Here is a 25,463-nt window from a genome sequence, read left to right on the forward strand (position 1 = left end):
GGATTGCTTAAGGGGCACTGCCTGGCAACAGTTGGACCCTTCAATTCCTTACGTAGCCCAGTGTTCATCTGAATGAACTTAAAACTATTTGACTACCCTTGTTTTGCTAGGCAAACGCTTTAAACTTCCAGTTGTGAGTCTAGGGTTATCTCACATTATGAATTAATGTGGTCTACATGAAGGACATCCATCCTCTTACGTTTCAAATCAGCAAATATTTGAATGTGTGCTATGTGCAGCAGTGTTAGTCAGCTTTCAAATAATAAAATGTATTTCCCGCCCTCAAGAAGTTTGCAGCCCACTGTGTAGGATAGACAGAGAAACTGGCATTTGGCCCTGGCATAGCATTGTCAGGGGCTGGGCTTTGGAGTTGGATGGCTCTACTGTTTACTAGCTGTGTGTGTGTGTGTGTGTGTGTGTGTGTGTTTTACCTCTTAAGCCTCAGTTTCTGCATCTGTAAAATGAGGATCATGATACGTCTTAGGGTTATTGTGAGGAAAAGCAAGGTAACCCATGTAAACTCTCAAGCATAAATGTTTGTTGTTTATCTGGTATGGCTGCTGCTGATGCAGTAAGGAAATGACTGAGATAAAGCATGGCAAATGTTCCATTAGACTAGGTATGCGTTATATCCCTGAGAACACACAGGTGTGAACAGGATAACTCCTGTTGGGGGCTTGGGGTGCGGGCAAGAGAGGCCAGTAGCTGGGGAGAAAGTTAGAAGGCTACAGATGAGCGGGACATCAGTACTTCTCTGTTCGTTCATTTGGCAAACATTTTTGAACATTTTTGGTGTGCCAGAGACTTCACCAGGCACTGGGATTATAGGAGTGACTCAGAACAGATTAAAAACCCTGTTGGAGCCTGCATTCCCAGGGAGAGAGAAGGGAAGTGCACACCCACGTGTGTAAGAACACTGAGGTGAGGGGTATAAGGCGAGTTCTAGGAATGTGGAGTAATTAAATATGGCCAGAAAATAGAGGGATGTGCATGGGGTATAGGGGAACTGGATGACCAGGCTTAGGAGGGAAGTGAGCACATATTTGCGAAGGCCTGATGAGTCTTTCTAAAAAACTCCTGGCAGCATTGAGTAGCCACAGAAACCTTCCTTTTTTTTTTTTTTTTTGAGATAGGGCCTTGCTGTGTTACCCAGGCTGGAGCGCAGTGGCACAAGCACAACTCACTGCAGCCCCAAACTCCTGGACTCAAGAGATGCTCTCACCTCAATCCAGGTCCTCACTGTGTTGCCCGGGCTGGTCTCAAACTCCTGGGCACAGTCTTCCTGCCCCAGCCTTTCAAAGCACTGGGATTATAGGCATGATCTGCTGTGCCCAGCCCACTTTTTTTTTTTAATATATAAATATTTTTATCTGCTGTCATTGTAACCCTTATTTCTTATAGAAAATATATACAGAATTAGAAAGTAAAAGCAAAATACCCATAGCCCCCACCTCTCAGGAAAAAATTTGTATTTTGACCAACTTATTTTCAGGTTCTGCCCCATGGCATTAATTTATTTCTTGAGTCGACATAGTTACGATCATAAGTACAATTTAGTTATCTGTTTTTTTCCCACTTATTATAGAGTGAGCATTTTCTCAAATTCTTGTAAACAGTATTTTACTGGCTAAGTAGTATCCACTCGGGAGTATGAAATATGGTTGACTTAACCAGCTCTTTCTTTCGGATCATTCAGTTGTTTCCAAGACCTTATTAGCATAAAGAATGAATGTTTAGCATCTTGATTTGTGAAAGCATTTCTGCACCTGAGATTATTTCCTAGTGTTAAATCTGCAACATTGTGATTACTAGTTCAAGGCAGTGGACATTTTCAAAGATGTTTGAAGTTTGGAACACATTGTCAGAGTCCTTCCCTAAAAGATTGCACTGACCGAAAAATAGTGTAAAGCTCTCTGTGTCATGAGGCACCTGGAGGCCTGGTGAGGGTGGATTTGAGCAGCAAGATGCTGGTGGGAGTAATATCCAGACAAAGCCTCCCCCAAGGCGATGGCATTGCTGAGAAAGAATGAGGGGACCAGCCAGGAGCTGTGGCTCACGCTTGTAATCCCAGCACTTTGGGAGGCCAAGGCGGGTGGATCACTTGAGGGCAGGAGTTTGAGACCAGTGTGACAAACATAGCAAAACCCCGTGTCTACTAAAACTACAAAAATTACCCGGGCGTGATGGCGCGCGCCTGTAATCCCAGCTACTTGGGGGTGGGGTTGAGGAAGGAGAATTGCTTGTACCTGGGAGGTGGAGGTTGCAGTGAGCCAAGATCATGCTACTGTACTGGAGCCTGGGTGACAGAGTGAAACTCTGTCTTGGGGGAAAAGACAATGAGGGGACCTTGCTTGAATGTGAAATGTGTAGGCTTGTGGCACATCATGAACTTCGGCCAGGCATGCTAAAGATGATGCCTTTTGGTTTAGGACCTCCAGAATTCCCTCTTCCCGTTCCCCCTGTAATCTGTACCTTGTAACCATTTGCTTAAATGTCACTTTCCCCTACTGAGTTGAGTTCTCTGAGCCCACGACCACAGATATTATTAGCATTTTTATGTCCCTAATTATTATTTAATTAAGGTCTATAAAATGGAAGCGGGGTGAAGGGAAAGGGGGCTGGGCATGGAGTGTGGCTTGGGCAAGGAACATGGTCCTTGTCCCAGTGTGGCTGGGGCTGGCAGGGCTGGGCAGCAGGAGGGAGCGGCAGGAGGGGAGGGGACAAACCTCCCTGCCCTGGGCGAGGTAGAGTGGAGCCCGAGCAGGCAGAGGTGGAAGATTTGACTCTCCATCGTGGCCCTGGTTTCACCACTGAGTGATCTGGGGCAAACCATCGCATTCTGTCTATGCTTCATTTTCTTCAGGAGGGTGCCAGCAGCAGCAATCTCTTTAAATGGAACATTGAACGATTATTTTTGGTCTATAGGTAAGAGGTACAATTTAAAGAAAAGGTAGGGAGTGATGAACTCAAACTCAGAAGACTCACAAGTAGTCCTCTTCAGAATGTTGGAAGCACAGTGCGTGGCCCATGGGGAGTGCTCAGTCTGTGTTAGCAACGGAGATGGATAATGACAGCCACTCATCAGAGGGTACCTTTCTCACTGACCAGCTGGGAATAGTGTGTTTCTTTGGGTAGTCTCTGCCCCTTGACAGATGGAAACACCTTCTCTCTTGACCCTGCCCCTGAGCTTGTCCTTTGGAAAACATCCTTGGCCTGGGCTTTTGGGGGTGGGAACACATTCCCCAGCCCTGTCCTCCTGAGCTCTCCTGCAGCTGCTGGAAGAAGCACCTGGAGGATGCCCAGCTGTGTCCTGCCCAGGTCCTTCCAGAATCTCGAGGCTAGATAACCCCAGTGTTAGAGCATGTATGAGCTTCTGAGGGCTGCTGTAACACATGACAACAGCTGGTGGCTTGTAACGACAGGAATCTATTCTCTCCCAGTTCTGGAAGCCAGAAGTCCCAAATCAGGGTGTCTGTCGGGCCATGCTCCCTCCAAAGGCTCTGGGGAGAATCCTTCTCTGCCTCTTTCAGCTGCTGGTGGCTCCATGCCTTCCTCGTCTTGTGTCTGTGTCACGCCGCACTCTGCCTCTGTCTTCATACAGTCTGCCTGTTCTTTGTGTTTTTTCTCTGTCTCTTCTAAGGTCGCTTCTCATTGGATTTAGGACCCACCTGTGTAATCCAGGATGCTCTTCTCTCGATATCCCTAATTACGTCTGCAAATATCATTTTCCAAAATAAGGTCACATTCACAGGTTCCAGGAATTAAGATGTAGGTATATCTTTAGTGGGGGCCACCATTCAACTCCTACAGGCCAGAGGCAGAGGTATGCTCTCATGGGAAGACCAAAGGGTCCCCTCTGGGCACCCAAGTGACAGACATTTGGCCTGACCTGGCTCTAGAGTCTCTCTTCCCTCTTAGGAGAAACTGGGAGATTCAGAAAGTTCCCCGCGGGAGGCAGGGGTTAGCCCGGCATTTGGTGCCCAGGATTGCCTGGGTGCTAGGATGGTCTTCTCAGGCACACTCTGCTACCCAGACTTTCTGGAAGCATGGCACTTTCAGCTCATGCATGAGGTTGGTGCAATCTGGAGTCGGATATCTCTCTTTGCTTCTTGTGTAAGCCGGTGAACTCAGTGGCAGTAATTGTAGCTGTGGTTGGATTTTTGTGGTAAAGGGGAATGGCTGTGGAAAACAGAAGTTGGGTAGCACGTGAGAGAAATGTTGTGATCGTGTAGGATAGGCACGGCTGAATTTCAGTTACCAGAGTAGTTTTATAAACACTCCACATATGTGAATGCAGACAGTTTAATTCAAATGAGAAGCTATGATTTGGTCTTTGTGGAGGTCAGACATGGGTTATATTTCAGGGTTAATAATCAAGCTAAAGTTAATCCCTGGCTTTAAAGCTACAGTTGATGAAGCAGTAATTTTGTGTGAGTTTTCCCTTTCTGCCTTGTTCCGGTCAAGGCTGTGTTCAGTTCTCTGGTGATAACTGTCCTCTCTCTTCCTTCTTCTCTATCTCTCCTTTCCCTTTGCTTTCCCTTATGCCAGCGCTCCTCCTCTTTCCTCTTCTTAAGACTCTTCAGGGCTGTTGAAAATACTAACAAGATTGCCCTGTTGATGTGTATGTGTTTCCAAAGTGGTTTCAAAGTGGCTCCATCCAAAAGTTTAGGAAGTCTTTAGGGATTGGCCTTTCTGGACCACATTCCCCCGCCTCACCCACGGGGAGGGTGCCAGGCGGATCCCTGGCTTGGTTCCAAGTGTGTCAACAGCCTGTTGCTTTCTAGTTCAACAAGAGGGAATAATCTTTGGTAAACATGGCCGTTGGAAAAAAGCAAATATTTGTCTTGGCAGTTGTAGTCATTCAAATATCTAGACCCTCTTGTGTTCCTGAGGGAGCTATGCCAGAAGTCATGGCATCAAATCCCACATCTGGTTAAGAAATACTGGTAAGAATAGATAAATAAAGGATGTTTGGAAGGCAGTGCTCTTTCTCCTTTCTTGTCCGTCTTTCTCTTTCTTTCTTTGTCCCACTCTCTCTCTTTCCCTCCCCTCTCTGAACAAGTCTGAATATTCTCTTTTCCCTAATTTTGGTTGCTTAAGCTAGTGTTTCTCAAGTTTAGCCTGTTGACATTTTGGGCCGGATCATTTTTGTCATATGGTGCTGTTCTGACCATCAGAGGATGTTTAGCAGCTGCCTCGGCCTCTACCCACTATGCCAGTAGCACTCGGCCCCAGTGGTGGATACCAAAAATTTCCCCAGACAACACTGAATGTCTCCTGCATGGGAAAATTGCCCTTGGTTGAGAACCACTGGCTAAGCCAATCTTCTCCAAGGTGGTAAGCGTACTACTGGTGGCATAGTGGAAGAAGCTTCCATGCACAGGCATCTGTGTGTGTGTGTGTGTGTGTGTGTGTGTGTGTGTGTGTGTAGGGAGGAGTGGCAGTTGGGTTCCTTAACCTTCACACTTACTTAAGGATCACTTTCAACCCAGCTGTAGTCAGCCTGGTCATAATGTGGGTCTCACAGCAGTGAAGGCAGCTGGTGATGATCAATCAACATGATTGGCTGTTCACTTTTAGGGCATGTCTTAGCTATCTTCCTTTTCAGGCTTATTGCCATTCCTCCAGTGGTTTTAAAATGTAGATGCCAGTTGCACTGAGGGTGCTCGGGAGATGAGCCTGACACTTGGCACCTTTTGCTTGCGTTATTCCTCAGCCAGGCAGCAAAGCATGACAGGAGTCTATTGCCCATCACTCCTGCGAGTCAGTCCAACTTACTTCATGTCATCTGGGGGGACGGTGCCAAACTGTAATGTCAAGGTGACGTGCTCTTTGGGTGAATATAGTTCCTGGACTTTCTCAAGCATGACTGCACTTTTTACAGCCAGCCAGTCTTGCTTCTTTAGAAAACTTAATAGACTCTATCCCTACGGAACTGTCCGTCTACCCTTAAAACCTTACATATTTTTATCATTTTTTAAAAACATGCTTTCAGAGTTTTGAGCTTGTTGTAGTAATGTCATACTAATACAATTAAGTTAAAAACAAGGTACTTTACCTTCATGTGTTGCCTCCTGTTTGTTTTTAGTTTGTTATTGGGAATTCTAAACATCTGCAGGAGTAGAGGCAATGGTAGGCTCCCATGTACCAGCTTATCTCCAATTTTCAATGCATGACCCATCTTGTTTTTTCTAGAGTCCCCTTTCTCCATTCACTCGATTATTTTGAAATAAATCCTCAACATCACATCATTTCATCTGTACATATTTCAGTATACAACTCTGAAGGGCTTTTTCTTAAACACAATTATAATCCCCCCAAATAAAGGAGCCACCATTACACCTAAACATTCCTCAATATTAAACATTTGTTGTATTTGGTTGATGTATCTGTTACATATCTTGTGGTCTATCCTGTAAGGCCTCTTCATGTAATCAAAATCCTCAAGGGCAGGACAGACCTGGAAGTCATCTTTTGTGCCTTTGTGTCTGATGTGCTGATATGGGAGGGTGCGGAGCCTTGTGCTGGGCACCTGGCAGGAACATCGTAGATACCTGCTTTTCCTCTAATTCCCTGTTATGCTCTTCTTTCCAGGTTCTCTAGCTTGACACTGGGCATAGCACTTTCTTAAGGGCAATGCTCAACTGGTGGGTGTCCTGAATTGCTTGACAGTTCCTCCCCCTGTGCCTGCCCTTGGGAGGGCTGCTGTCATTGTCACCTCCTTTTTTTTTTTATTTTTAAATAAGACAGGGTCTTGCTCTGTTACCCAGGCTGGAGTGCAGTGGCACAATCATGGCTCACTGTAACCTCGACCTCCTGGGAACAAGTGATCCTTCCACCTCAGCCTCCTGAGTAGCTGGGACTACAGCTGTGTGCCACCACACCCAGCTAATTTTTTGTTTTTATTTTTTGTAAAGACAGGTTCTCACTCTGTTGCCCAGGCTGGTCTCGAACTCCAGGGCTCAAGCTATCCTCTCGCCTTGTCCTCCCAAAGTGCTGGGATTACAGGGCAGCCTTTTTTTCCCCCTTAGATGGAGCCTACTCTCCAGATCTACTCTCTGCCAAACTTTTCTATGCCAGTATCTGGCACCAGCCTGAGTTCTGGATGTACGTAAAAATGTACTAATGCTCAAAGCATTGGAGACTAAACTGAGTCCGGATCGATGCTTCCTGACACTTTCTTTGCAAGCTACCTTTGTGGCTTCTGCCTTTCCTTGCTGTTGCCCCTGCAGGCCTCTCTGGAGAGGCTTTGTCCTCTCACACCCCCACTGACCCTGGGTCTGGAGGCAGGATCTGTGGGCACCTGACCCCCTGTTGCATTTTGGAATCCCGCACTCTGTGCTTGTTCGCCACCCCCTCCTGCTGCGCTCTTCCTGTCTTGCCCCCATGGCTCCTCCCAGCCTTGTGCTGTCCTCCCCTGGCCAAGTCCCGGCTTCACCATGGAGCTGGTGCCCTGCTCACGGGCCTTCCCAGTTCCCACACCTCTCTTCTCATAGCTAGTGGCTCCAGTGCCCCTGCAGGCCAACCCGTAACAACTCAGCCCCCAAGCTGACCCTTACCTGTCTGTAAAAGCCTTCCCTTCCAATCAGCATCCGGTGTTTATAACCACATCCTGAGCCAGGTGTGGTTTCCCCAGAAATGCTACCCCCTTGACATGCTCTATCCACCTTGATCACACCCCTCACCGGCTCTTTGACCTCCTCAAAACCTCCCTGCAGAACTCCTCCTTGTCTTCTCACTCTGGCAGCCACCCCTGTCTTCACTTCCTTCTTTACCTGGCTCCACTGAGAGACCTGAGCCCTGGGGAATGCAGGTGTTGTGCCCCCCTCTGCCCTCCCACTGGCCCAGCCCTTGGATGCATCATTAGAGATGGGTGCCAGCTCACATGAGGACCCACTACCTTGGCTCGGCCCTCTTCCTGCATTCATCCTTCTAGGGGCCCCAGTGAGCACACAGGTTCTTCAGGAAAAATGCAGCTCCTTACCCCTCCTCTTCAGCACCTGCTTTTCATAGAGAACCCTCCTTCTATCTTGCATGCATGACAGGGGTCCCGTGGGGCCATGCACCCAGCTTCCCTCCTCTCTCCCTGGCCATGTTCCAGCCTGGGGGTGGAAGAACCTGCCCATTTCCCATCTCTTCCAGAGTCTCCTTCCCCCAGGAACCCCCTTCCCTCCCTAGTGCATGGTTTCTGCTGTCCCTTTTGCTCCTTCCCTTCAGTCTACAAGTTGCCCAAATCCCTGAATTTCTTTCTTCCTTTTTCTTTTTTTTTTTTTTAAAACAACAGAAGGAGCCCTCCCCAGAACACTGAGAGGGATGCATTATTATTCCTTTCTATGGATGGGGACACAGTGGCTTAGTGGGGAAATAGCTACCCAAGCTCACAACTATCTGATGAAAGTTGGAGGCAGGTTGGGAGCTCAGCCGCCTGACTCCCTGCACATGCCTTCAACTTTGAGTCAAAGGCGGGGAAAAGATGCAGCCCTTCCTGGGTGTCCCATCTTTGGTGCAGGGTTAAGGAAGGAGCCTTGGGACCAAATGAAGTGACTGCCAGTGCAAGTCATCTGAGGCTTTAAGCTGCTTAACTCTCAACTCCTCGGTATTTTAGGTACCATCTGTCTTCCCATCTCAATTATGAATTCTCCAGGGACTGTCACTTCATTTTTTTTTTTGTCTCTTAGGATGCTTTGTGCATAGCTGATGCTTAGTAATGGGCTCTTATTCATCTAGAAATTTTTTTTGCCTTTAACTTCAACCTGGAAGGCTTTTAAAAAACATGATTAGCCAGGCGCGGTGGCTCAGCCTGTAATTCCAGTGCTTTGGGAGGCTGAGGTGAGAGGATCACATGTGGCCAGGAGTTTAAGACCAGCCCAAGCAACATAGCTAGACCCCGCCTCTTCAAAAATAAGGATGAAAAATTTAGCCAGGCATGGTGGTACATGCTTGTAGCTCCAGGTACTCAGGAGACTAAGGTGGGAGGAGTGTTTGAGCCCAGGTGTTTGTGGTTACAGTGAGCTATATCGCACCACTGAACTCCAGCCTGGGCAACAGGATGAGACCCTGTCTCAAAAAAAAAAAAAAAAAAAAAAAAAAAAAAAAAAAAAAAAGACTATTTCCTTTTGTGTGTGTAATGAGTATAATGAATACTTGATGTTTTTGCTTACTGAGGTATGATCATTCCAGACTTGAACTTTAGTTTGCATAAATTTTTCTATTTCTGAAATCAGGACCCATCAACACTGTATTATATGTCACAGTGTGGTTTATAATTCATGGCATTTTATAATTGAAGAAATTTGGCATTTTAGTTGTAGATATAAAAATATAAGTGTTACAGATCCTAATCCTAGCTTTTTTCTGTCTAAAAATACAGAGTCTCAGCTCACTTTCTCTGTTTATCTTGCCACTCCCTACCTCCTACAAATGTAGAGGGAGATTGCCAAAAAAAATGGAGATTCTGGTGGGTTGACTTAGATGAGTGCTTCTGAAATCATCTGAAAGTTTATTATCTGTTTCAGGGCTGGGCGCAGTGGCTCATGCCTGTAATTCTAACACTTTGGGAGGCTGAGGTGGGCAGATAGCTTGAGCCCAGGAGTTCAAGACCAGTCTGGGCAACATGATGAAACCTCATCTCCACCAAAAATTTAAAAATTGGTCCAGAATGGTGGCATGTGCCAGTAGTCCCAGCTACTTGGGAGGCTGAGGTGAGAGGTGGGAGGATCGCTTGAGCCTTGGAGGTTGAGCCTGTAGTGAGCCGAGATTGTGCCATAGCACTCCAGCGTGAGTGACAGAGCAAGACCCTATCTCCAAAAACAAACAAACAAAAAAATTATTTTCAGGCTGATAAACTTTTGCAAATTCAATAAAAATGAAATATTTGAAAAAATAAAATACAGGCACGTTTTAAAAAATCAGAATCAGTGTAAATCACTTTGTCCAATTGCTATATAGAATTTTCTAAGTGTTTACTCTCAATTTCTGTACTTACTGTGGACCAGTTACAAACTGGTGAAGGCAGACCACCTCTTGGTAGTGTGAGCTAAATAATGGAGGTTTTACTTAATTCATCAATTTCCATGGAATCACTTAAAAAACACACACACACACACACATACACACACACAGAAAAATTAGTCCAACTTCTTCTCAGAAGACCATTCAGAAAACACTGCTTGGAAGCACACTAAAGTCCACTGCCCTGCAGAGGTCAGGCCTGAAGGTTTGTGTGACTTAGATTTATCAGTGTTCAAGCTATAGTTTAATTCCATGTTCGTTACTTCATCCACGGAAAACCAGTGGAAAGCAAGTGAGTGGCTATTCTCCAGGTGTATGGAAAATGCCCAGCCCTCCCTGCCTTGCGGTAGAATCATGGATTTGAATATTTTCCCAACTGTGTAGAGTGAAATTTCAGTATTCCAAGTCATAAGTCAGATGTAATTTTGTCTTATTCTGTTTATTTGTGAGGTTAAAAATAGGAATTGGGAACTGCTTTTTAAAATAGCAATAGAGTGTTTTGACTCTTGGTCTGCAGGGGTCTGTGGGGTGATTATGTGATATTTTATGTTCTAAGGTAGTGGTGATTGTCTTACTAGAACATGTAAATATTTAAATCTTAGAATTGGCAGGGCATATTCAAGGAAGTATACAAAACAATTCAAAAACGAAGTCTGAGTTAATTTTTTTGTTTTAAAGTTGTGCTCGAGATCACGCCATTGCACTCCAGCCTGGGTGAAAGAGTGAGACCCCGTCTCAAAAAAAAAAAAATAAATAAAAATAAAAATAAAGCTGTATTCAAATAATATCATTTATGGGGAGATGATATGTAACATGTTTATGCATTTGTGAAAAGGAATTAGACTCTAGAGGAGCACTGTCTACTTTGAGGGGATAGCAGTGGACCCTCAGGGGTTGCACCCTCCCCAAAGGCACCTGCCAACCTCATAGGTTATTTTTTAGCAGGTGAGTTGTATGGGGTAGACTGGCCATCTCATCCAAGGGGCAGGGAGGGAGCGCGAGAATTGCTGATACTTGCCCCATAAGTACAGAGACCCACAGAGAGACATGAGTAAGACATTGCTCTGTATTTTTTTTTTTTTTTTTTTTTGCATTTTAAGAGACTGGAGGGGAAAAAAAGATAATGGAATGATTCCCCCCCCCGCCCCCCACATAAAAGAGTAATATGGAGGAAATTTGTTCCTCGAGAAGACTTTGCTGTTTGAATATATATATATTTATTCATTCTATTTTTGACAAAGAGCAAGTACGAGCTAAGTTACTCTGTCTAGAGGAGCTGATTCTGGAAATCCGAGGGAAACACTGAGAACATAAATAGGGAAGTAGAAAGTCCTTGCTGTCCCGTGAGAGCAGGGGCTCATGTAGGCGAGTGGAGTAGGATTCCTTATGTCCTGGTTTTAGCCCCAGGGAGTGAGGTCTGGGAGGGCAGGTGTCCTGCCCATGGTCACCTGGCCAGCTGTGTGCCACCAGGAATCAACTAAGGCCTGCTGTGTCTTTCCTGGGTCACCTTTATCTTACTGTGTGCAACAGGGATCAGATAGAGTATGATGGCTGTAACTTTATTTAATGAGTAGAGAATTTGTTTTCTTAGGGAAAACAGCTTTGTTATGCTTCTTATTGTTGAAAATACTACTTTGCCGGGCGCGGTGGCTCACGCCTGTAATCCCAGCCCTTTGGGAGGCTGAGGCGGGCGGATCACCTGAGGTCGGGCATTCGAGACCAGCCTGACCAACATGGAGAAACCCCATCTCTACTAAAAATACAAAATTAGCCGGGTGTGGTGGCGCATGCCTTTAATCCCAGCTACTTTGGGAGGCTGAGGCAGGTGAATCACTTGAACCTGGGAGGCGGAGGTTGTGGTGAGCCGAGATCGCGTCATTGCACTCCAGCCTGGGCAATAAGAGCAAAACTCCATCTCAAAAACAAAACAAAACAACAAACAAAAACAAAAAACACAAACAAAAGAACTACTTCATAAAATTCTTATATTTGAATCTGATATATGATACTTGCTTCAATATAATCTCCAGTGATTTCTGGGAAGGAATTAAATGGGGGCCTAGGATGAAATAATTTTGGCCGTGAGTTAGTAATTGTTGAAGCTGAGTGATGAGTACATAGGGGTTCATGATGATGTTTTCTTTGTTTTGTATATATTTAACTTATAAAAATTTTTTTTTAATATACTTTAAGCTCTAGGGTACATGTGCACACCGTGCAGATTTGTTACATAGGTATACATGTGCCATGTTGGTTTGCTGCACCCATCAACTCGTCATTTACATTAGGTATTTCTCCTAATGCTATCCCTCCCCCAGCCTCCTACTACCTAACAGGCCCCATTGTGTGATGTTCCCTGTCCTGTGTCCATGTGTTCTCATTGTTCAACTCCCACCTATGAGTGAGAACATGCAGTGTTTGGTTTTCTGTCCTTGTGATAGTTTGCTGAGAATGATGGTTTCCAGCTTCATCCATGTCCCTATAAAGGACATGAACTCATCCTTTTTTATGGCTGCATAGTATTCCATGGTGTATATGTGCCGTATTTTCTTAATCCAGTCTATCACTGATGGACATTTGGGTTGGTTCCAAGTCTTTGCTATTGTGAATAGTGCCACAATAAACATTGTATGTATTTAACTTTTTTAAAAGAAAGTTTTAAACATGTATATGGTACATGACGTGGTAAATAAGTTACAAAATCTCATCACCCAACAAGAACCAGAACCACCAGGAACTGGAAAACATTGTTTAATACCATTGTGCATGGTGTCTCACGCCTGTAATCTCAGCACTTTGGAAGGCTGAGGTGGGCACATCACCTGAGGTCAGGAGTTCGAGACCAGCCTGGCCAACATGGTGAAACCCCGTCTCTACTAAAAATACAAAAATTAACCAGGTGTGGTGGTGCATGACTGTAATCCCAGCTTCTCGGGAGGCTGAGGCAGGAGAATCACTTGAACCCGGGAGGTGGAGGTTGCAGTGAGTGAGATTGCGCCACTGCACCCCAGCCTGGGTGACAGAACAAGACTCCGTCTCAAAACAAACAAACAAAAACCCCCATCTCCTGCATATTCCACTTCATGAAAATGCTTTAAAGAAATACAGGAAAGGTGTGAATCCCCATCCTGCTCACAGAGATTTTATTCCAGGTAGAGAGCTGAGAGGCCGCATGTGGGGAGGGGGGTAAAGTCCACATTTATTGCAGGTGTGCTGTGCTCGTGTGTCCCTCGCATCAGCTCGTGAGGGAGGCCCTGGCATCGGCCTTTTACAGGGGAGCAGAGTGAGGCATGGAGGACTTAGTCAGGGAGCAAGGATGCCCCTGGCCTTGGGTGACCTGGTGCCAGGCTTGGTGCTGGGTGCTTGAATATTCCTTCTCTGTGTAGTCTTAGCACCCTATGTTGTGGACTGGTGTTAGAAAGAATACAACATGATAGAATGAGTTGCCATTTTATGCAGAGAAACCTACAAAACCCATGAAAATTTAGAGAAATGCAAGAGTAGGAGGAACCACAGGGGAAAGAGCATCTTAGAAAATGGGGGCCTTGGGTTGACAGGAGGAGGGAAACAAGGCTGAGGAGAATTAATTTTCACAATATACTGAGAAGAGGAAGTACAGTTTGTTAGAAGGTGTTTTGGTTTTGCATGAAAGGTGCCATAGCGAATATGCAAAAAAATCACTGGCCATGTGAGGAAAGAGAAGAGGAATTTAGCTTTTGGAGAAATACATCAGGTGGCAATTTTATGAAAACCAGCCTTCACATGGTAAGAGAGAGCAGCATAGAAAAATCACTTGGGAAAGATGAATTTTGAGGGTTACAATAACTGCTAATCAGGGCCAAGTGGTGACAGGTTCTTATTTATGGAAAGTGAGTATTCCTGATTTCCGCATTATGTATACCTGAGTATCTAATTCGGTCTTGATTAGCAGAATCCTCTCAAATGACCTCGTGTTCTTGTTTGTGATACTTATCTTAGGTTGCTGGGGGCTGAGAAGACTCACAGTACACTTTGATTGTTTCTTCCTGTTGCATTTATGCTGTGGTGTGTTGGCTCACGGCATCAGGCAGCCAGGCTTTGCAGGCTGGAGGATGGAGCCAGTGTGAGTATTCATAGGAACGTGTCCCCTGAAGAGGATGCCCCTCCTTCTCCTAGCTACAGACCCGAGATACTTCATTACAGATGACAGAGTTTCCACTGGCAAGGAAACTCAGGTGAGATTCACCACTTGAGGAAGTCACATTCTCTCTCTGCATGTCCTTCAGCTGGATTGTGTCACTGTAGAAGCAGTTGCTGAGGTTACGAGCATGTAGGAATAGTCCTCGAGCTAATGGTCAGGGTGGCAGTGAGAATAAAAATGGAGGAGCATGCACCTTCCCAGGGTCAGTTCTAGCAGCGTGGAGCCTTGTGTGTGCAGCACCTGTTCAACCCGAGTGCTCTGATACAGTCAAAGGATCTCTACCTGGCCAGGAGGATCCCAGATCCTCCATCGCTGCTTCCCCAGGCCAAGCCAACATGTGTCACTCTACACCTCTCCCAGGCCCTGGCCTGCAGTGGGGAGATCTCCCACAGGGAGTTCCTTGGCTTCAGTGCCTGGGTGGCATCTGCAGCACCACACCTCTTTCTCTCTGTATTTTAAAAAATATTTTGTTTATTTTTAACAGGTTTTATTTCTTCGGAGCAGTTTTGGGTTTACAACAAAATTGAGTGGGAAGTACAGAGAGTTCCTTTATATCTACTGTACCCATAGCTTCCCCATTACCAACATCCCATGCTAGGGTGGTACATTTGTTATAGTTGATGAACCTATATTGACAAATCATTACCACCTAAAGACCATAGTTTACCTTAGAGTTTCTCTCTTCTCCCCTCTCTACCTCCCTCCCTCCCTCCCTCCCTTCCTTCCCATTGTCTTGCTCTGTTGCTCAGGCTGGAGTACAGTGGCGAGATCTAGGCACAGTGCAGCCTTGACCTCCCAGGCTCAGGCAATCCTCCTACCTCAGCCTCGCGAGTAGCCGGTACTATAGGCGCATACCACCACACCCAGCTAATTTTTGTATTTTTTGTAGAGATGGGGTTTTGCCATGTTGCCCAGGCTAGTCTCTAACTCCTGAGTTCAAGTGATCTACCTATCTTCGCCTCCCAAAGTGCTGGGATTATAGGCATGCACCACTGCACCTGGCTAGGGTTTATTCTTGGTGTTGCACGTTCTTTTGATTTGGAAAAATGTAGAATGATACACATCCACCTTTATAGTATCATGCAAAGTAGTTTCACTGCCCAAAAAATCCTCAGTGCTGCTTATTTTTTCCTGCCTTCGCCCCGCCCCCTGACCCCTGGCAACCACTGATTTTTTTTTTTTTTTTTTCTTTTTGAGACAGAGTTTCGGTCTTGTTGCCTAGGCTGGAGTGCAATGACAGGATCTCGGCTCTCAGCAACTTCCGCCTCCCAGGTCCAAGTGATTCTCCTGCCTCAGCTTCCCAGGTAGCTGGGATTACAGGCGCCCACCACCATGCCCGGCTAATTTTTGTATATTTAGTAGAGATGGGGTTTCACCATGTTGGCCCGGATGGTCTCCTAACACCTCAAGTGATCCGCCTGCCTTGGCCTCCTAAAGTGCCATGATTACAGGTGTGAGACACCGCGCCCGGCCCAACCAGTGATCTTTTTACTGTCTCCCTAGTGTTGCCTCTTCCAGAATGTCATCGAGTTGGAATTGTATAGTATGTAGCCTTTTCAGATTGGCTTCTTCTGTTAGTAATGTGGATTTAATTTCCTCCATGTCTTTTCATGACTTGATAGCGCTTTTCTTTTTAGCACTGAATAGTATTCTATTGTGTACATGTACCTTCTTGCTCTTTTTACTGGAACCTCTCATTCTGTTTTCCCAAAAGAAAAACTCAAGTAGTTGATGAATAACACTTACCTATGGTGTTCATCAGGTTCTACTGTTGGTATTCTTTGTGGCTTTGTGCTCTTTTAAAGGGTCCAAGTTGGAATGAAAGAGAATAAGAGCACGTTTGTGCTCTTAGGGTTCAGGGATGAGGGAATAGTGTACAGAGGGGAATCTTTTTGTTTCATTCTCCAATTGTTATACCGTGAAAGCCTTTGTTTGCTTTGGAGGTGGGAAGGAAGGCATAAATGTAAAATAGTGTATTTCCCTAGTTGACAACAGACCAAAGAGTCGAGAAGTTTATTCACAGACCCCAGGTTTGTAGCAAAAGAGTGAATAGTGGGCCGGGTGCGGTGGCTCACACCTGTAATCCCAGCACTTTGGGAGGCCGAGGCAGGCAGATCACCTGAGATTAGGAGTTCCAGACCAGCCTGGTCAACATGGCAAAACCCTGTCTCTACTAAAAATACAAAAATTAGCCGGGCGTAGTGGTATGAGTCTGTAGTCCCAGCTACCCAGGAGGCTGAGGCAGGAGAATCGTTTGAACCTGGGAGGTGGAGTTTGCAGTGAGCCAAGATTGTGCCGCTGCACTCCAGCCTGGGCAAGAAGAGTGAAACTCTGTCTAGAAAAAAAAAAAAGAAAAAGAAAAACATGTGAATGGTGGACTAATCACTGGGACTGAGAGAGGAAAACGAGGGCTTAAGCTGGTACCTTGAAGTCCCAGGGAGAATGATCATAGAATCAGCCAGCCATAACTTCAGTGCATGTGTATGCATACACACACACACACACACACACACACACACACACACACACACACACACACACATTCATGCCTGACCCATTCCTGACCCTGCTGCTGTACCCCAGTTTTTTGGGGCCCCCTGTGTCTGCCCCAGTTTCTTGGAGTCACTATTTTTCAGTCATTCATTGAGCACTTAATGTGTATAAGAAACTGCTCTGAGCTGAGGATAAAAATATGGGAGAAGCCATAGTTCTTGCCCTGTAAGAGCTCACAGTCTGTGGCGAAATACAGACATGTAAATAGATTATTTCAACAAACTTTTGTAAGTACAGAAATTGAGATGTGGTCAATGAAGTCTCCTTGGAGCAGGTGGAACTTGATGGACAGCTAGATTGAATGGGGGTGTGGGGACGGCATTGTAGACATGTAAGAGTGGGCATCAAAGCCCTCTTAGGGGAAAACAGCTCAGAGGGCAGGGGACATAAGGTGCACTGGCTTAGTGGTGGTAGAGCACAGACTCCCAGGGCACGCCAGGCAGGAGGTGAGGAAGTGGGTATCTGCAGCCCAGGAACTTGGCCTTGAGTTTGTAGGGACTGGTCCCAGTGACTGTGTTACCTGATTTAACCTGTTGGAGGGAAGCTGGCAAGCAGGTGGGCCTGGGAAGGCTGCCACGGTAGATCAGAGTGTAGCCCAACCAGAAGTTGAGGATTGCCAGTAGGAAAACCCTGGCCATTAACTGCTTTGTATAAGGAATTGAGGGTGGGGAAGGGTTTAGTTAATTTAATTTGCTGAATGACCAAGGAAGAGTTAGACACTTTATCCCTGCTCTTTCCTCCATTGCCTCCTTAAAAAAAAGGAAAACAAAAATTGTTTCAAATTTTTCTAAAATGCATTGCCAGATTTTGTTATAATGGAGTTTAGCAAAAACATTTAAGTTTGTAATTGTCCATTTGAAGGTGTTGTAACATCTCAGGGTTATTTTAAACATTATGTTCAGAATATTAAGTGTAATTTAATAGTATAGGATATTTCTTGATACCCATATTCCATGGCCAGTTGCTTTTTTCAGGAAATCAGTGTTAAAAGCTTATTTTTGTAGAGTTGCCTTTTTCTGAAAAATGAATGCATTTCTTTTTCCTTCCCCCAAAGGAGACCCTCTGTGTTGGTCTGACTAATTGAAATTCCTAGGCATTTGAATGTTAGTTAATTAGACTTCTATTGAAAACAATTGGCTGTAATAATGTACTGAATATCATAGTTGGTCTAGAGACAAAAAGTTTCTTCTAACCCAGAAGTCATAAAGAGAAATACTCTTTTCTCCTCTCGCCCTTCTTTTTTTGTTTTTTTTTGGATTACAAAAGATGGGAGACTATGCTGAGAAAAAAATGGGGGAGAAAACTTCTTTCAGAAAAGAGAAATAAAAATTGATTTTATTGTGAACATTTCAAAGTCAATTTAAAATATAAAAGTGTATAAAGTATATTTTGGCCAGTTCATAAAATGAGGTAGTAGTAGTATGTTTAAGAACAGCTTATTTATTCATTCTTAGATTCATGTAGTCAAATTGTTCAAGGGCTGGGGATATGGCTTTGTACCAAGTAGAGTTCCTGTTCTCATGGAGTTTGCATTCTAGTTACACCTATTACTAATTGATTTTTATCATAACTGTTTTTAAAATTTTAAGAGAGGAGGGTCAGTGAATTAGTGAACAATAAAGAATTCATGGCATCTCTGTTTTTTTTGGTTGTGAAAAGCTCATAAAGACAGTGTGAATTAAAGCAGTGCAATGTGATCTCTTTTCTTGCCCTCCTAGTAAGCATATATTTTACACTACTTTGCATTGATATTGTTGGCACCATTACCTGATCACTTATATGAATTGTGCTTCATCATTTAATTGTGAATGTAGTGGTACAAAATGAGCTTTCAACAATTATTTACATAAAAGAACTAATTATAACATTATTTTTCAAAGTATTGCGTGGGACACTGGTCCCAAGACATAGACCACAAAAATAAAGGAACTCTGTGCACACATAAGGTTAGAGCTACTTACTCATAATCAACATGAGCAAGTGAAAGCATCCAAAATATTCTGCATTGGAGAAACTCCTTAATTTTGTTTAAACCAGCTTTTGCCCCCTTTATACTGAGAATCTTTTTTGCATGTAACACTTTTTACCTCCTAGTTTGCTGGAATGCTGTTTTTAGAGCAATACAAAAGGATTTCTGGGGCTTTTCTACTAGGACTCTTTTCTCTTTGTCCTGCAAAAAGGCAACGTAGCATATTGTCATCTCTGAGGTCCTTGGGTGTTGACGCTGTCTACTTGCTCTTCATTGAGTTTCCTTTGACCCTGGCCCAACCCCCAGCCTCTAGCTGGAAAGTCAGTGCAGGGAAGCCATGAGCAGAGAACTGGGCATCTCCCCTTGGAGTCTCATATCTTCTGACCTAGCAGAGCTGGACTCTAATCATTGGGCTACACTTCAAATTATAGCATTCCCAAGACTTCAGCAAAAACAAGTAAGTCCTTGGCAAGTGGTGGAAGTTGGGACATTTTGTTTTCAAAATTGTTCCTCGGCTTCTCCCATGTCTGTGTACGGCTGCCAAAGAACTTTTGGTTTATTCGTTTGCTTCTTGGATTTTATGATTTTGAATAATTAGTAGTAAATGTGTCAAAAATTAGTGATCACTTCAAGCCAAGAGTAATGCTAGTTCATCCTCAGCTAATCCTATTGGATTTTCTCTGCTTTACCTGGTCTTAGGTTATAAAAGCTTTTTTTTAACTTAAGAGAGCAAAACACTTGGGCTGGGGCCCATATGAGCCCATATTCTGATTTTTACACACATGCAGTTGATGTCAGGGCAAAGCCTGAGTGTGGTGTCACACTGTTCCCTGCCTTTTAATGGAATTTGATGACAAATGGGTTCTTGGCTGCATGGGATCTAAAGCACATAGTGAGGGTTCAGCTGCATACATCCTGCACACTCCAGATCCCCTTCAACTTACACCCACATTCCTGTGGGGATTACGCCAAGTAAAACGAGGAAAACCAGTCTATAAAACTCTCATGGTGAAAAACTGCCAGGTATGGTCTCCATCAGATTACTTAATGGGTGTCTTTTTTCTTTAATGCTGTTGAGATGATAATATTAGGTGTATCATTTACCAAATACTTATTGGATTCCAGACACCATGCTAAAAACTTCACGTATGCTCTCTCATTTCATCCTCACAACAGTCAAAATAGCTAAGTATGAGTATGATCATTTCTGCTCTTACGATGAGCAACCATGTACTCCGAGAGGTGTACTTAAGCTTCCCTGAGCAAGTAGGAAGGGGTTGGGGATGCAGGAGCAGAGTTAAGGCCTGCATTAATGTCCTGCTGTTGGTGACAGGCATTTTAGGTGTAGCTTTTGCTGATTTTTGTTCACATCTTTCTGTGCTTCTCGGAATACTCCAGAAAAGGCGCATCATGGGAGCTGCTAAATGATTTATTGTATGTTACTCTGGAGAAGGCTACTTTAAAGCAAGTTTACTTTAAATAGCAAGCTCCTGGTCCCTTTGAAATAAGCTCCTATTTGCTTGGATAGATCTTATCCATATTCATAATAGGCATTTTAAACAGGTAGGTGTGTTTCCATTGGAGACATGTTCTGTCTCAGCGTTCTCTAGGGACCTTGTTATGATCAGGCAATGAATGAGTTTCTAGCATGAGCTGTTTCCATCATGGCACCCCCTGAGCTGGAGCGCAAGGGAGCTCAGTGACTATTGAGCATTGCTGATTGCATCAGACATATTATCTCCTTTAACCTCACAGCTGCCCTTGGCATTATTACAGAAGAGGAAACTGAGGCACAGAGAGGTTAAGGCATACCAAGCCGGATGACTAGTAAATGATCCAACCAGGATTGGACACCTTTCTCTTAACTGCTGTGCTGTTGCTTTCCCTAAATGCAACGTTTTGTCTCTTAAATCCCGATGCATCTCCGTCGCAAATGTGGACTTGTTTCGCACTAAAGGGGGTCAGAACAGAGAGGCCAGCAATTCACACTGGGTGGCCCATGTGTTGTGGGAAGGGGTGTGTTGTACTTTGGAGTCGCAGATGCTTAATCTAAGTTAAGTCTCATGATTGCTCATCTCTGAAATTGGAGAGTGGTTCTTGTCCTTTGTCTAACTTCTAGGGAAATTTTGTAGGGAAGAAGGAGCTGCCAGCAGATGAAGGGGGTTAATTAGATTTGTACTTTATATCCAACATATCTATAAAAAGATTTGTGCATCTACAAGGAATTATGACTTTTTAGCCAAGTTTATAATTATGCCGTTATGAAGATACATGTATTACATGGGACTCCTAAACTTTTACAAATAAAGCAAAATGAGAACAATAAATTTGTTTGCTAGAGATAAAGTTAACGTTATGGGCCCATTATGGGGATACATTTCTGTATTTTATAATCTCCATAGAAAACATTATTTCATATATAAATATAACCCAATAAAAATAAATCTGTGAAGTGGTTACACATGTTATAATGGAAAGTATTTTAACCACAAGAAATGGCCCATCTGTACAATTATGTCTCCTTTGTTTTTATTCTTCTTCAGAAAATCTCTTCATCAATTCCCTTGTTAGTCAGGAATGAATCTACCTGTCTCTTGAAATAGATTTTTGCCTATTTTCATAGCGGCTTTGAGCTTCTTCAGTTACTTTAGCTGTAGTACATAAACATTAGTTGAAATTGTGTGGTAAATCTTCATTCTTATGACTACAGGATTATTGTGTTTTCAAATGGTATGGGATGATTGAGAAGATAGATGGAAAAGAGAAAGATAGATGGGATTCCATTGGTCACAGTAACACACTCACTCTAGCCAGCATAAGTGAAAAGGGAGACTTATAAGAAGGTTATAGAGTATCTTAGGGACCCAAAGGCAGGGGTGACATGACCCTCGGAAATGAATGGCAGCTGATTTGAGGAAGGTAACTCCCTACTCAGTGTTCACTAAGAGCACATGTGTGCACGAATGTCAGTAAAGTCAGGGAGGAAAAATTGTGACAGAGAAGGAGAGTGGACATTGATATCGTGTATTCCTTAACTTCAACACGAGATTTTAAAAGTTAAGTAGCTCCATTGTATTCTTTAGAAAAATAATGATTGCTCATTTTATGAAATTTAAACAGTATAAGAAGTAAAAATCATCTAACATTTTGATAACCAGAATCATAACTATTTTGATAAACATCCTTCTAGACATCTCTCTGGACATCCAAGAATACACACACACAAATGAATCATACTGCATATGGTCATTTACCTATTTTATTCACTCAGAAGTATATAATGGATATCTTTTCATATCAATAAATATAGACCTCCAACATTGTTTTCAATGTCTATGTGGTTTACTCAACATGTCTCATATCTGTGGGCCTTTAGGGGCATTTATCCTCCTCCTTTCATAATTATAAACAATGCCATGTGTATCCATCTCCCTGCTTCCATAATTATCTACCTTGAGTGAATTCTTAGAAGTAGGATTGCTGAATCAAAGGGCATGCCATCTTATATGCTGACATAATCTCCCAGGTGGCTACAGAATGACGTTTCCAATTTATATTCCGTTCATGAAAGTGCCTATAACATTGGTTATTTATTGTCAGTCTTTGTCATCTTTACCAATCTGATAGGTACAAATAAGGTCTCCACTTTCTAAAATTACTTTTTTTTTTGGAGACGGAGTCTCACTCTGCAGTCCAGGCTGGAGTGTAGTGGCGTGATCTCGGCTCACTGCAAGCTCCGCCTCCCGGGTTCACACTATTCTCCTGCCTCAGCCCCCACAGTAGCTGGGACTACAGGCGCCCACCACCACCCCTGGCTAATTTTTCGTATTTTTAGTAGAGACAGGGTTTCACCGTGTTAGCCAGGATGGTCTCGATATCCTGACCTCGTGATCTGCCCGCCTTCGCCTCCCAAAGTGCTGGGATTACAGGCGTGAGCCACCGCACCCGGCCTAAAATTACATATTTTTATTGTTAGTATAGTTGCTATCTTTTCATATGTTTCTTGCTGTTATATTTTTTAAGACATGAAAAATTTGTTAATTTGCTTTATCCATTTTGAAGGGAATATTAATTTTCTTGTTTATTTTTAAGACTGTTTTAGTCTGTTTTTGTTACTATAAAGAAATAAGGGCGCAGCGGCTCACACGTGTAATCCCAGCACTTTGGGAGAACCAGGTGGATGGATCACCTGAGGTCAGGAGTTCGAGACCAGCCTGGCCAACGTAGTAAAACCCCGTCTCTACTAAAAATACAAAAATTAGCTGGGTGTGGTGATGGGCACCTTCCTAGCTACACAGGAGGCTGAAGCAGGAGAGTTGCTTGGACCCGGAAGGCGGAGATAACAGTGAGCCGAGATGGCACCATTGCACTCCAGCCTGGGCAACAAGAGTGAGACTCCATCTTAAAAAAAAATACATATATATATACATTTTTTTCATATATATATATATATATATATATATATATATATATATATATGAAATATACATATGAAGGCCTTTTTAAGAATGACACCAAAATATGCAACTATAAAGGACTGAGACATGTAGCTAGTAACAATTTTTTTAATCTAAAATTTTTGAATGGCAAAAATAGAGCAGAAATTTTAAAAACAATGATACTTTTGTCAAAAAATAAAATAACAAACTAGCAAATGAGTACTGGTACTCATTTGCTTTTATTTTGAGTTTATTCTTCCATAAGTAGGGAGAGAGAGATGTAGAGTTTTCTTTCCTAAATGCTAAACAACACCATTTGTTAACTAGTCTGTCATACCCACCCAGATTTGATTGCACGTACTTGGGACTGTTTCATATGAATCCTGTATCTGGATGTTTATTCTGTTTCGTAGATAACGTGTGTGTGTTCTCACACAGGCGCCTGTTCCTTTACTGTGGCTAGGCCATTTTGTTGATTTCTACAATTGATTATAGTGCTTCTCTGCTTCAAATTGGGTTTCCATGGAGCAAGTTCCCAGTGCCTTAGAGAACCAGGAGCCACATGGGAACAGCAAAATCAAGAAGGGACCACTTCACAGATGTGTTAGAGGAGCTAAATAGGAAAAAAAGAAGACAAGAGCACCTCATGTAAACTAATTTTAAAAAGAAGCAGAGTGCAATGCCTGAGATTTTTGTTTTCGACATTGAGGGAGGTGGATGTCTGTATTTGGTTTTTGTTTAAATTCAAAGCCATTAAAGCATTCCTACCACAAGGAAGAAGAAAATGTGTTTTGTCTCTCTGCCAGCAGTAACATAATTTTGGTCTTCAAAATAAGTGTCTTGGGACCTGAATTCCCTGTGGGTAAAGAAAATTCCCAGCCCATGTGTTGTGGCAGAAATTCATTGTTTCCTGAGTTATTTCCTTTCATGCTTAGTGTGGGGGAAATGACCAAATGTATAGATTGAGATTCTTTTTCAAAAACATTACTTGATTCTGATGATTGTTATTATGATTTTAGGTGCTGCAGGAGGCTTCTCACATGCTTTGGGATATCTTCAGGGAAATACGCTCTTAATAGAAACTGAGAATTTAAGGTAAGTCCTTTCGCAAAGATACTTTGTTCTTATCAATTGGCCAATCCCCTGCATTGGTATAGTTTTGTAAAGTGTTAAAACTGCTGTCTGTTATGCTGTCTCGTTTCATCTTCACTGTGGTTTTGCGAGGCAGGTGTGAAGAGTGCCCGGTCCTAATATTCCCATTCCTGTCTGATTTTTCCTCCTGGTAGCTTGGTGAGGTGATGGTAGGGGCCCAGAGGAGGAGCTGAGTAGCTGGGTTTTTGTTTTTGTTTTTGTTTTTGTTTTAATCATATTGGACCTTATAGTGTGAATTCTCATTCACTCACACTGGTTTGCTTCATAAATCTTTTCTTAGTGTGACGTGAGGGGGTAAGTGCTGGGTAAGGAATTAATGTAGAAACTTCTAGTGGTCTTTTTTTTAATTTTTATTTTAAGTTCAGGGTACATGGGCAGGTTTGTTTCGTAGGTAAACGTGTCATGGGAGTTCATTGTACAGATTATTTCATCACCCAGGTATTAAGTCTAGTGTCCATTAGTTATTTTTCCTGATCCTCTCCCTCTTCCCAACCTCCATGCCCCAGTAGGCCCCAGTGTGTGTTGTTCTCCTCTCTTCCCCATTGTTTCCGTGTGTTCTCATCATTTAGCTCACATTTATAAGTGAGAATATGTGGTATTTGGTTTTCTGTTCCTGTATTAGTTTACTGAGAATAATGGCCTCCAGCCCCATCCATCTTCCTGCAAAGAACATGATCTTGTTCTTTTTTATGGCTGCATCGTATCCCACGGTGTATATGTACCACATTTTCTTTATCTAGTCTGTCATTGATATCTCCAGTAGTCTTTGAACTGAAACTGGTTGGTGGTTGCTGGAGCCCTCCATGGTTGGGAAACAATTGTTCTAGCATGAGATAAAGTAAACTTTGGTTGTAGATTATTGTTTTCCAGTTTTGGTTGTCCTGGGGGGGTTGTGTGATCCCAAGTAGTGTGTACGAAGCATCCTGGGCAGAGACACAGGGTTCTTCTGCCGGTCTTAGTTGATGCTCTTACTCGGTAGCTGTATCATGGCACACCCAGATGTATCAGTTCTGTTCCTGACCAGCTGCAGAACTTGGGACAGGTTAGTTAATCTTTGTTTCCTTCTCTTCTTTGGAAATTATGTAGATTGGTCTAACCTGGTCATGCCTCTACTTTAAAATTTTGTGGAATAGGAAAAAAAAAGTCAGGACCTATTTCT

General features: G+C 43.4%; 1 protein-coding gene across 2 annotated transcripts in view; it reads left to right on the forward strand.

Annotated features, from left to right (window-relative positions):
• The window catches only part of TLN2 (talin 2), a 454,082-nt gene that overhangs the window by 174,966 nt on the left and 253,653 nt on the right, over positions 1-25,463 (forward strand). For both annotated transcript variants that reach the window (NM_015059.3, NM_001394547.1), the window contains exon 2: positions 24,172-24,247. The gene's annotated coding sequence lies outside the window, so the exon portion shown is untranslated. The remainder of the gene's footprint in view (positions 1-24,171; positions 24,248-25,463) is intronic.

Source organism: Homo sapiens, chromosome 15 (assembly GCF_000001405.40).
Source record: "Homo sapiens chromosome 15, GRCh38.p14 Primary Assembly".
Lineage (NCBI taxonomy): Eukaryota > Metazoa > Chordata > Mammalia > Primates > Hominidae > Homo > Homo sapiens.